The 13,022-nt window shown below is 40.6% G+C and overlaps 1 protein-coding gene across 3 annotated transcripts in view; it reads left to right on the top strand.

Moving 5' to 3' along the window:
• Positions 1-13,022, top strand: part of TRPC5 (transient receptor potential cation channel subfamily C member 5) — a 314,766-nt gene that overhangs the window by 121,551 nt on the left and 180,193 nt on the right. For all 3 annotated transcript variants that reach the window (NM_012471.3, XM_017029774.2, XM_047442413.1), the window contains one exon: positions 8,785-9,183. In NM_012471.3, coding sequence (NP_036603.1) covers positions 8,806-9,183 — 378 coding nt within the window. In that variant the 5' untranslated portion in view covers positions 8,785-8,805. The remainder of the gene's footprint in view (positions 1-8,784; positions 9,184-13,022) is intronic.

Here is a 13,022-nt window from a genome sequence, read left to right as displayed (position 1 = left end):
ATTTTTGTTTTGAAATAATTTCAGACACATAGAAAAATTACAAAAATAGTAAAAAGAACTCCCATGTACCTTTCATCCAGATTCCCTAACTGTTATCATTTAAAAACAATTTTGTAGGCCGGGCACGTTGGCTGACGCCTGTAATCCCAGCACTTTGGGAGGCCAAGGCAGACAGATCACGAGATCAGGAGTTTGAGACCAGCCTTGCCAATATGGTGAAACCTCGTCTGCACTAAAAATACAAAACTTAGCCGGGCATAGTAGTGCATGCCTGTAGTCCCAACTACTCGGGAGGTTGAGGCAGAAGAATCACTTGAACCTGGGAGATGGAGGTTGTAGTGAGCCGAGATCGCACCACTGCACTGGGCAACAGAGTGAGACTCTGTCTCAAAAATAATAATAATAATAATTAATTAATTAAATAATAAAATAAAACAATTTTGTAAAGTAGTCCCTTTGTCCCATTTAAGGAAGTTTGGCCAATAAGCTCCTGTGTGAACATTGTCATATTACATTCCAAAGTAAAGGGGCAACGGAAATGGGACAGGCTCATTTCTGATGGCCTGTGGGATCTGGGATTAAAGACAATCCAAGACTAGTAATGAAATGCAAGACTTTTAACGAATTACGCTGCTTATTATTTGCTGTTTCAGTGTGTTTCCATTCTGCTTTTACCTTGACTACTTCAAAGAATATCACGCAGACAAAGTGATAATGAGTGTTGAGCAACAGATTTAAAATCCCCCATGCAGCTGAATGACTTAAGGGAAACAAATATATAACTTTTTACTTATGTCTTCACCTCAGTGAAAATAAAATATATTGATTTCATCCAGATGTCAGTGGTTATACAAACCTCCCCTGGACATTGGAGAGAAGGAGAGGAAAAAGCTTACAAAAATAAAATCACACGTGTTTATAGCCATGAAAATACATTATTCAAATGAAAGTACTGACATTTTAACATAGGCACTGCATTTTTAACCTTAAAATTGAAAGAGTCCCCTGTATTATAGTCCTTTTAGAGTCAGAAGAGAAATTTGGGTCATTTGGCACTATCCAATAAAACTTTCCACAATGATGAAAATGTTTTATGTCTATACTTTCCAGTACAGTAACCGTGAGCCACATGTAGCTATTGAGTGCTTAAAATGTGGATGATGCAACTGAGGAATTGAATTTATTTCATTTTAATTTATTTAAATTTAAATAGCCACTTGTGGCTAGTGGCTACTGTACTAGACAGCGTGCTAGACTACCATCCTAAGTAGAAATTTCTTTTCCAGTTCCCCTGATCTCTTTGCATTCTCCCTCGTGATCATATCAATTCCTAACAGCTCCAGTTACCACTTATAATATGATACATCATCCTGGCTGCATGTTAGGTTCACCTGGGGAGCTATTTTAAAATGTCATTGTGGAGAGGAGGGGTGACCTAAGCATGGATATTTGTAAAAGGGTATTTAATATGTAGCCAGGGTTGAGAACCTTTGATCAATATGCAATGATTCCCAATTTTATATTACTAGCTCTCAATGATAAGCTTCAGATGCTGACTGGATCTCCTCCTGATGTCCCCCACCCCAAAGAAAGCCTCAAACACCAACATATCCAAATGTGACATGATTATGTCCCATCGCCCTCACCCAAATCCTTTGAATTGTAACTACTGGACTTGCTTCTGCCATTTTGCCATTTGTTTTCTATATGTCATATATTTTTTGTTCTTCAATTCCTTCATTAATACCTTCTTTTGTGTTTGACTTTTTGTAGTGTATCATTTTAATTCACTTCTCATTTCCTATTCTAGCTATTTCTTAGTTATTTTCTTAGTAGCTACCATGGAGGTTAAAATTAACATCTTAAATATATAGCAAACTGGCTTGAATTAATAACATAGCTTAAATAGTATAAATAACTCTGTTCCTATGCAGCTCTCTTTTCCTTTATGTTGTTATTGTCACAACTTTTTTATATCATATGTGTCCACTAACATAGATTCATAATTTTGGTTTCATGCATTTGTCTTTTAAATCATGTAGAAAAAAATAGGGCTTACAAACCAAAAGTACAATAATACTGGCTTTTAAATTTAGCTATGCAGTTACATTTATCAGCGTTCTTTATTTCTTCATATGGCTTCAAATTGCAATCCAATCTCAAGGACTCCCTTTAGCATCTATTGTTGGACAGGTCAGTAAACAACAAACTTCCTCAGCTTTTGTCTAAGAATGTCTTACTTTTGCCTTCATTTTAGAAGAATCATTTTGCAGGATATAGAACTCTTGATTGAAGATATTTTATTTCTTTTAGCGCTTATCATCTACTGAATTTGGATCTCTGTGTGTGGTTTCTGAAGAGAAATTGGATGTTAATTTTATTGAGCATCACTTGTATGTAACAAGTCACTTCCCTCACTGATTTCAAGATTCTCTGTCTTTGGCTTTTGACAGTTTGATTGTAGTGTGTATCAGTGGGAATTTCTTTCAGTTTTTCCTTCTTGGAGGTCTTTGAATTTCTCGGATTTGTAGATTCACAAAAGGCAATCACTTTTGCACCAACCTAATAACTTAGCCTTAGACTAATTAAGACTCAGTCCTTGAGGTGAAGGAGGGGCTTCTTGCCCGAGCCCATGACTGCGTGGGGATGTGGTTAATCTCACAAACAAAAGCAGGGCTCTGCCAACAGAGCATTCTCCCATCTCTATCCCCACCATTCTTTCATGGAATAATTCAATACATATTTATTGGGAGCTTACTATGTGCCAGGTACTGGGAATAAAATAGTGAACATGACTGATGAGGTTCTGGCTATTATGGAGTTTACATTTGGGTTGGGAGAGCCAAATGTTAAAATAGTGAACAAATAAAAATGTAGTCAATTCAAATAATTATAAGTTCTTGAAGAACTTACCTTGAAAAAAATGTAGATGGAAATGAAGCTAGGATAGTGAGATGTAGAATGACATGTGTGGGGCTTGAAAGCGTGGTCTTGAAAGGCTTCACTGAAGAGAGGACATTTGTTCTGAAACTATACAATAGGAAGGAAAATGTGCAGCTTTATGGAAGAGGACTAAAGTGTAAGGACCCCTATGTGATCACATGTTTGACAGGTTTAAAGAGCAGATAGAAGGCCAGTGTGTTCTTAAATACCATTGTGTTTTATATACCCACATCTGAGCACATGCTGTGTCTACAATCTAGAAAGACCATCCCTAGATCATTGCTATGTAGGAAACTCTTATCAACCCTTCAAGACACAGCTCAGATATTACTTCCTCTGTGATGCCTTCCCTTATCTCTAACACTTAAAGTTGAATACTTCCTTCTTTGTATCCATACTATCAATTAGAATATCTATCACCCTGCACTATGTTTAACTTATTTACATTTTTGTCTCCCCCTCTGGACTTGGAGTTGCTTGATGGCAAGGGCAATGTCATTTATATATGCATATTTGTGTTCCCTACTACCAAGTGCTCTGGGCGTGACAAATAGTAGATGCACAGCAAGCACTTATTGAACTGAAACACTGAATATCTACTATTGCTGGCACTCTCATAGATTTTGTGGAGCATACAAAAGAATCTGCCTTCATTGAAGTAGTCAGGAATGTAGACTCTGGTGCCAGAAGCTTGACTCCAATCCCATTCCCACCACTTACTAGCTGCGTGACCTTAAAAAATTACTTAACCTCTCTGTGCTTCAGGTTCCTTATCTGTAAGGTGGGAGATAACAGTGGTAACTGTCTAAAAGTGAGTATTAATTTAAATAATGTATACAAAACATTTAGCACACACAGTATCCGGCACAGAATAAGTGTTGAGTCTTACCTTATTTATAAATTAAGGAAATAATTAGATTGACAAGATTTATACACATGAAAAACAAACTACTGCAAATATATTACTATACAGAACTGTTTAAAGTACCTCCTGAACCAAGATGTTGCAGCACTATCACCTCAACAAAGCATTGCTGAATGAATGAATGGACTAAAAAACAAAAAGCCACAGTATAATCTGTGCTGATCTGACCATTTCTAGAGCACTATGTTCACTTCTGAACATTACACTTTAAGAGAAACAAAGTACTTTATAACTAGAAGCAGACCAGTAGGATGCTCCAAAATCTGGAAAGTATCTAATAAGAATGACTGAAGAAACTGAGAATGGTTAGGTAGAGGACTACATTACTGCTGACATTAAACATTTGAAAGTTGTCATGTGTAATAAAGGGGAGCTTTGCTTGATGCTGCTCTAGAGAGCAGAACTTGGGCCAGGGGATAAAGGTTATAGGCAGGTGATTTCAGCTGAACATAGGAGAGTATTTGCTGAAAGTCAGTGTTCACCACGCAGGTGAGGAAGTGGTGAGTTTTCCATCTGTGGAGGTGCTGATTAACCGAACAACCACTTAACAAGGATACTGTCAAGGGGACTTTTTCATTGGGCTGGGGGTTATTCTAGATGGACTTTGGAGTTCTTTGCAGGAGGTTCAAGATCTGGACCTTTCAGGGAAAGAATAGTGTCACTACATTAAAATTAGTTCTCAAAGTGATAATCTCAAGCCAAAATGCTCTCAAAATCAACAACCCCATAACTTTCCCACGACCAGCCCACCCCTGTGCTTTTATACAAGAAATTTCCACTATAGGCACTTTTTGGACTGCTCATTCAAGGTCCCTGTTCAAATATTATTTTTTTTCCTAGGAGAAGTATGGTTTTAAGCCACTCAGCCATTATCATCAGCTTCTATTATAGTGCCCGGTATATATTAAGAATTATTTATTCAATGTGTTACCAGTCATTCACACCTGAGATCGTACAAATTTATCAGATTAAATTTACTTGCCTTAGAAAGGCCCTGGAGAGATAAACAACTGGACAGATAAGTTTGGAAAATTGTGAGAGGTCACAAGGGTTTTACCATTTAAGCTTCAGTCTTCATGACACGTGGTGCAAGCCATGCACAGATACCACGACACTCTGAAGGCACTGATGTTTTCTTAGTTAGGTAGAAAGCCAGCCTTTCCTCCTCACAGATGAAGTCTTATGCTGGGCAGAAATCTGGGCTGGGATTTGCCAAAGCCATTTTGTGCCCTGGCCTTCTGCCAAGTCCATCGATTTAGCTCTTTGAATCGCATCATTTAAGCCCACAAATGTCACAGATTCTATTAGACAAACGCCTCTGGCCAGCAGCAAAGAAAAGAGGGAACATGATAAGCCCTCTGAGGCAGCCTGTTAGACAATTCTTAATCTTTCATGGTTGGAGAACTACATTGCGAGCGGGTTCACTGGCAGAATGGCAAGAAATACTGGCAGGTTTTGTTTCTTTGGTTAAGAATATACCTAGAGGCTTAGCTTTGGTTAATGGCAGATTAGTGCATCTGCCAAGTATAAAGGTAAAGGGTCATGGGGAAAAACCTTCCAAATAATACATTCTTAAAAGATACCAGAAACTCCATCACTAGTTACTTATTCTCAGAATAATGGCAGAGTAGGCCTAACAGCAAGCATGCAGAGAAAGGATTGGCCTCTGAGCCTGGAGTGAGGCTGAGGCTAAAGCTATGAGTGAGGGTCAAGTGGCTGCAGCTGTGGGGGATTGGAAAAGGGCAAAGAATTAGGCAAGTCATTAGACAGCTATGTGAGTCTGCATGTCAACAGACAATGCAGGAAATCCATTTTTGCATTATTCTTTATTCGTAGTATAGAGCTGGGCATAACTATTTAACAGAGTTTTCCAAGGCTGGATACCAGACCTCTCCTTTACCCTCCATCACTTCACCCGCATTCTTTTAGCCAGACATTGCTTTAATTCCAAAGTCACAGCAACGTTCCTAATGAGGGAATTCATGTTAATATATTACTAGTTTTTAGCCATGTGATTTATTATTTCATCCAGGGGTAGTTTTGGCAATGTAGTCCCTTAAAGCAAGAGTGACTCTAATGGTAAAATCTCAGGCAAACCTTTGTAGATTTATTTTTTCTAAAGAGGAATACTATTGAAGCCTCTTACAACAGAGCCCACTGGAAAATTACATAGACCAGACTAATTCCAAATGCAAGAGATGAAAATTAAAACTGGACTTTGAACTGACTATATATCATCCGATTATACTTGCCTCAAGTTACAAATTACCATGATTTTACTGTTGTCTCTCTTCACTACTTTAACCCATGCATCTGGCACATAGTGAGAGTTCAATGAATGGTACTGCTTGTTGCCTTCATTATGATTACCATTAGAGGCAGTGGTAGTAATAGTGCCACTCCAGTACCTGGCACCATGCCTGAGCCACATTAAGTATTCAAAACTAATGATTATTTTTATAACTTTATTGCCCCAGCTTCTGGCACAGTGCCTGGCACATAATAGGACACCGATTGAGTTAGTTTCCTTCATTCTCACCTTTCCCTGGGATACAATATTCTTCTGCTTCCCCCCACAACTGTGCCTTACTAAAGGGGTTGCAGATCTTCCTGTAGCAGTAATGCTTCCTATACCAGTAACACCACCAGTGACACCATCTGAAAGGACATCTAGCCTTTTCTTCCATGGTAGCCTCTTAAATGGCAAATGGGCAGCAAGTGTTCAAGACCATTTTTCAGATGAGGATACCAAGATTATGAGCTATTGCCTTGGAATGTTAGCTCACCTCTAATCCCTATATCCTATTAAGCTGAAAAAATAAGACCCCTTGCATTCCCCCCAACCCATCACCCAACTAGGCCATAACTGATCTCATCTTTCTTGTTGCACTCGGCAGTGCCTGGACTGCCCCCACACTTTCATGTTTAATTCATCCTCCAAGGATTAGCCTAAGAGCTACCATCTTTATGAAACTTTCTGTGAGGCCTCCAGCCTTCAATGAGCAGGGTTGTATTGTTTCCTATCCCCTAGCAGGGGCTAGCAGAGTGCTAGACACAATAGAGGCTCTCAGTGTGTTTGTATTGATTAAATAAATAGAAGCTAATTGGGTTGTTGGTCCTCACTTTAGGAGGTCACACTATCCCTTCTCTCCCCCACTCATTTTTGTTTACAAGGTAAAGGCACAGAGGCAGTCTACAATTAGTATCATTAAAGTTTTGTGCTGTGTATTGGCAAATGCTTACTCTAAGTGCTGTTTGTTTAGCCACTTTCACTACTTTCACTTTACTTGAAAGTAGTGGAAGAATGTATCAGTGCTTCTTCAGGCAGTGAAACAGCACCCTCTTCTCTTGGGATTTAGATGTGGAGAGAGATTTGTCATTTGGGTCTTGAGGCAGTGAAACAGCACCCTGTTCTCTTGGGATTTAGATGTGGAGAGAAATTTGTCATTTGGGCCTGCTCAGGGCAAGAGGCAACACTCATCTTCAAATACTAACTTCCCAGAAAGACACAAGCACATGAATTGCAAATACCACTTGATATAAGGTAGGCCTCTCCCTCTGCCAAAGCAGGGATGTCATTACCTGGAAGACTGAGGTAAATGTTGGTGGAAGCTTCATGTCTTTATCTTTTCTTACATCCAGAAGGTGAGAAAAGGGGCTCTTTAGCACATTTCCATGTCCTTTAGCTGGCAAAACAGTTAAGTAATGAAAGACACTGGAATAGGTCCATCCTAACTCAGCCTCCAGAGTGGCCTGGAGGCCTCAGGGATGAGGGGAAAAGTGGAGCCAACACCTAATAGATCTGAGCCTCATTTTCTCCCTTGGAGAAGATAATCATTCCCATCTCACAGGGATGCTACAGGGAGTTAATGAGGAATGTGTATAAATTTTACCTGTAAACTATGAGGCAAGAGCTCTATACTGCGATTCATTCTATGTGATTGAAGACAAAGGCTATCTTTTTACCTTTGTCTCCCAGAGACAGTTTAAACACATTGTAGGAGCTCAATAACTAGGTTTTTACTTTAAAACTAATTCTATTAAATATAACCTGGATTTAGGTATGATACAAATAAAACAGACCATTCACTTATCAGAATTTAATCATACAGATTCTCAGATCTGTTAGCTTTTCATTTGAAATGGCAGAGGAAAAAATCATGAGCAGGCACAGAGGGTACATGTTTATCTTTTGCAGTTGGCTTTGGCCTATTGGAGTCAATACCCCTTTCCCCATTGAGCAGCAGCAAGAAGCAGGGTTGCAGTTAGAACTGAAATAGGATTTCAATCCAGGATGTGCATGTGGGACAGTTACAAATGTAATCCTGAAAATTAGCATAGGACCAGAGACCTAGAGCCTGAAGGAAATTGGCCAAAGAAGATTTCCAACTTTGCATCACTAATCAGAAGTGTTACCATGAATATTTTCAGGCACCAGAAGAGAAGGAAGGTAGGAATTAGCTTATGCCATGTCTTAGGAGGTTTACCCTATGCCAGTTGCTTTGATAATGTATATCTTATTTAACTCTCACAATAGCTTTATGAGGTAGGAATTATTGTGTAGCACAGGACCTGGCACACAGTAAGCAGTCACTAAATGATAACTGCGAGTAATATTATTAAGATTGATAACCTTAGTATCATCAACCTTAGTAATAAATAAAGCACAGAGGGCTTGAGTAACTTACTCAAGGCCACAGAACTGGTAAGTCATAAAACCAGGATTTAAGCCCAGGTCTTCCTGACCCCAAAGCCTGGGCTTTTTCTGTTATACTTCTTTGTAAGCGGAAAAAAGACGGCGTCATTGAAGTAGTTTAGGATTTTCTAACCCCTTAGCAGGGCTGCCTCCATAACTGGCCACTTGAGACCTCCACGTATCTAAGGATATTTTGGTCTTTCTCTGTTTCCTCACTCAGATTTCTGCATTGCTATGAACCATGGCCCAACTGTACTACAAAAAGGTCAACTACTCACCGTACAGAGACCGCATCCCCCTGCAAATTGTGAGGGCTGAGACAGAGCTCTCTGCAGAGGAGAAGGCCTTCCTCAATGCTGTGGAGAAGGGGGACTATGCCACTGTGAAGCAGGCCCTTCAGGAGGCTGAGATCTACTATAATGTTAACATCAACTGCATGGACCCCTTGGGCCGGAGTGCCCTGCTCATTGCCATTGAGAACGAGAACCTGGAGATCATGGAGCTACTGCTGAACCACAGCGTGTATGTGGGTGATGCATTGCTCTATGCCATACGCAAGGAAGTGGTGGGCGCTGTGGAGCTTCTGCTCAGCTACAGGCGGCCCAGCGGAGAGAAGCAGGTAAGAGAAATTCCTATAGGCTGGGAAATAGCCAGGCACAACAGGGCACCAGGTCAGAAGCCCTGAAACTAGGGAAGGTTAGGTGGTCTGGAATTGAGATGCCCTATCTCAGAAATTGCACCAGTGATCTCAGGTAGCATCCTGGAGCTACCCTACGTGGCCCATGCTGAGTTTTACTGATTTACCTTTTCCTTATTAGTGTTTGCCCATATACATTCAGTACTCACTGAATGTACTTAGCAACCCAATGATGTGTTCTTTGTTTCCAGACTATTTAAGCCCCTTCTAACTTTCGTATACCCTGCTTTCTATCTTCTGTTTCCTCCTCTACTCAAAGGTTATATTCTAGAAAAGGAGAGACAAAATACAGACTTGGTCTTTCTACTTCTCATTAGCCTCTCTCTGAAGACAACACAGGAGGCCTTTAAACTTGAGTGCCATGGTGCAGATGCTTATGGAATAAGGCCTCATATATTTTCCCAGTACCTGTCAAGTGACTTCATTCCACTTCCAAATGTTTGGGATTTTGCCTCTGTGATTCTCATATCCTCCAAGGCACCTAGGTTTGATACTCTGAAGTCATCTTTTATTTGTCTGGCTCCCTTGCCCCCATGTCCAATCCCCGAGTCCTGTGGTTCCTTCCTTCCAAATATCTTTCATATACTTTCTCTCCTCTCTAGTTCGTCTTTCACCAGTCTGGCTCTGGTTCTCAACATCTCTCTCTTAGATGAGTGGTTCCTAAAGTGCGGTCCCTTGACTAGCAGCATCAGCATTACCTGGGTACTTGTTAGAAATGCAAATTCTCAGGCCTCTGCCACAGCCCTATTGAATCAGAAACTCTGGGGTGGGGCCCCAACAAGCCCTCCAGAGGATTCTCATGTACAATCAAGTTTGAGAACTGCTGTCCTAGATTAACATAAAGCTCTTCTGACTGGTCTCCTTGTCTCTAGCATGTTCCCCTCTCTCAAATCCCGAGCAATAATATCCCAAGAATAAGGCATTATTCTCCCTAAATAGCATTATTCTCCCTAAAATAGGATATGAGCCTGCCATTCCTGTGCATCCTTTTGCAGCTTCCCTTCTGCTGTCTAAAGGTTCACTAAAAATGAACTTACAATAGGCAGATTAATAGGAGAAAATGGCATACAAAATTTATTAACATGCATATGGACATGGAAACCATACACAAAGTTTGAGGCTCAAAGAAAAGTCAGATGTTTGAGACATAAATACTTTCTTCATAAGGGAGAAATGAATGGACCTGGGAGGCAAACATTATTTTATAAATGATTATCTTTGGACTCTGGACGGTGCCAACAAGTTAAGGGAAAGTGAGGGGTGGAACTATACAAGAACTAATGCTGTCTTTTTTGTTCTTAAATTTCCATAGATTATTGCAGAGCAGGTAGTGTTTGGTTACATGAGTAAGTTCTTTAGTGGTGATCTGTGAGATTTTGGTGCACCCATCACCTGAGCAGTATATACTGCAGCCTATTTGTAGTCTTTTATTCCTCTCCCCCTTCCCATCCTTGTCCCCTGAGTCCCCAGAGTCCATTGTGTCATTCTTATGCCTTTGCATCCTTATAGCTTAGCTCCCACTTATGAGTGAGAACCTATGATGTTTGTTTTTCCATTCCTGAATTACTTCACTTAGGAAAATGGTCTCCAGTCTCATCCAGGTTGCTGCATATGCCATTAATTAATTCTTTTTTTTTTTTGAGATGGAGTCTCACTCTGTCACCCAGGCTGGAGTGCAGTGGTGCGATCTCGGCTCACTGCAAGCTCCACCTCCTGGGTTGATGCCATTCTCCTGCCTCAGCCTCCCGAGTAGCTGGGACTACAGGTGCCTGCCACCACGCCTGGCTAATTTTTTTGTATTTGTAGTAGAGACAGGGTTTCACTGTGTTAGCCAGGATGTTCTTGATCTCCTGACCTCGTGATCTGCCCACCTTGGCCTCCCAAAGTGCTGGGATTACAGGCGTGAGCCACCGCGCCCAGCCAACTCATTCCTTTTTATGGCTGAGTAGTATTCCATTGTATAAATATATATATATATATGCCACAGTTTCTTTATCCACTTGTTGATTGATGGGCATTTGGGTTGGTTCCACGTTTTTGCAATTGTGAATTGTTCTGCAATAAATATGTGTGTGCAATTATCTTTTTCGTATAATGACTTCTTTTCCCCTGGGTAGATACCCAGTAGTGGGATTGCTGGATAAAATGATAGTTCTACTTTTAGTTCTTTAAGGAATCTCCACACTGTTTTCCATAGTGGTTGTACTAGTTTACATTCCCAGCAGCAGCATAGAAGTGTTCCCTGTTCACTGCATCCACACCAACATCTACTATTTTTTTTATTTTTTGATTATGGCCATTCTAGCAGGAGTGAGGTGGTATCGCTCTGTGGTTTTGATTTGCATTTCCCTGATCATCAGTGATGTCGAGCATTTTTTCATATGTTTGTTGGCCATTTGTATATCTTCTTTTGAGAATTGTCTATTCAGGTCCTTAGCCCACTTTTTGATGGGATTGTTTTTGTTGTTGTTGTTGATTTGCTTGAGATTTTCATTGTGGATTCTGGATATTAGTCCTTTGTCAGATGTACAGATTGTGAAGATTTTTTTCCCACTCTGTGGGTTGTTTGTTAACTCTGCTGCCTGTTCCTTTTGCTGTGCAAAAGCTCTTTAGTTTAATTAAGTTCCAGCAATTTATCTTTGTTTTTATTGCATTTGCTTTTGGGTTCTTGGTCATGAAATCTTTGCCTAAGCCAATACCTAGAAGGGTTTTTCCAATGTTATCTTCTAGAATTTTTATAGTTTCAGGTCTTAGGTTTAAGTCCTTAATCCATCTTGAGTTGATTTTTGTATAACGTGAGAGATGAGGATCCAGTTTCATTCTCCTACATGTGGCTAGCCAATTATCCCAGCACCATTTGTTGAAAAGGGTGTCCTTCCCCCACTTTATGTTTTCTTATTATGCAGATAAAGTCCCTTAGGTAATCTCTTGCAGCTGTCATCAGACAAATACATGAAAAGTCCATCGGGTCATGGTGATGACTGCCCATCTCTTCTCCATGGTTGATCTTTCTTGGTTATTTGATTAGATTTCTAGGGAGGGAGTCTTAAGACAATTGCATTTCTTTTGGAAAGAAGCTTCTTTACTCAGATAAGGAAGTTACAGAGAGTCCCTCAGGGTGTATCCTTAAAAAGGATCAGAGAGACAGGGAGGTGGACAAAGGTCAGAAAGAGAGCTCAGTTCTGAGGCTTATTTTTGAGACCTTTCCACTTTTTTTCTTTTTTTTTTTTTTGGAGTTGGAGTCTCACTCTGTCACCCAGGCTGGAGTGCAGTGGCACAATCTCGGCTCACTGCAACCTCCGCCTCCTGGGTTCAAGCAACTCTCCTGCCTCAGCCTCCCGAGCAGCTGGGACTAGAGGTGCACACCGCCACGCCTGGCTAATTTTTTGTATTTTAGTAGAGACAGGATTTCAACGTGTTGCCCAGGCTGGTCTCGAACTCCTGAGCTCAGGCAATCCGCCCACCTCAGCCTCCCAAAGTGCTAGGATTACAGGCATGAGCCACTGCACCCAGCAGCCTTTCCATTTTTCTAAGCACTCAGCATGCTTAAGTGCCATATTTTGGGGAATTATTTTCTGTACCCCAACACTTTCAATAACTGTAGTTATTAGAAAAGAAACCAATCCGTGAAGCTTGCACCTCAATGCCCTCAGGCAATGGTCTTTCCAGTCCTGTATTCCCCTAGCCCCTTCTAAACACCCCTCAAGTCAGACAGGTCTCTCTTCACTGTCTCTCTTCTTTAGGAACACAGAATTCTGCAC

Source organism: Homo sapiens, chromosome X, assembly GCF_000001405.40.
Source record: "Homo sapiens chromosome X, GRCh38.p14 Primary Assembly".
Taxonomy (NCBI): Eukaryota; Metazoa; Chordata; class Mammalia; order Primates; family Hominidae; genus Homo; species Homo sapiens.
Note: the sequence above shows the minus strand (reverse complement) of the source record. Positions and strands in the feature narration are given on the sequence as shown.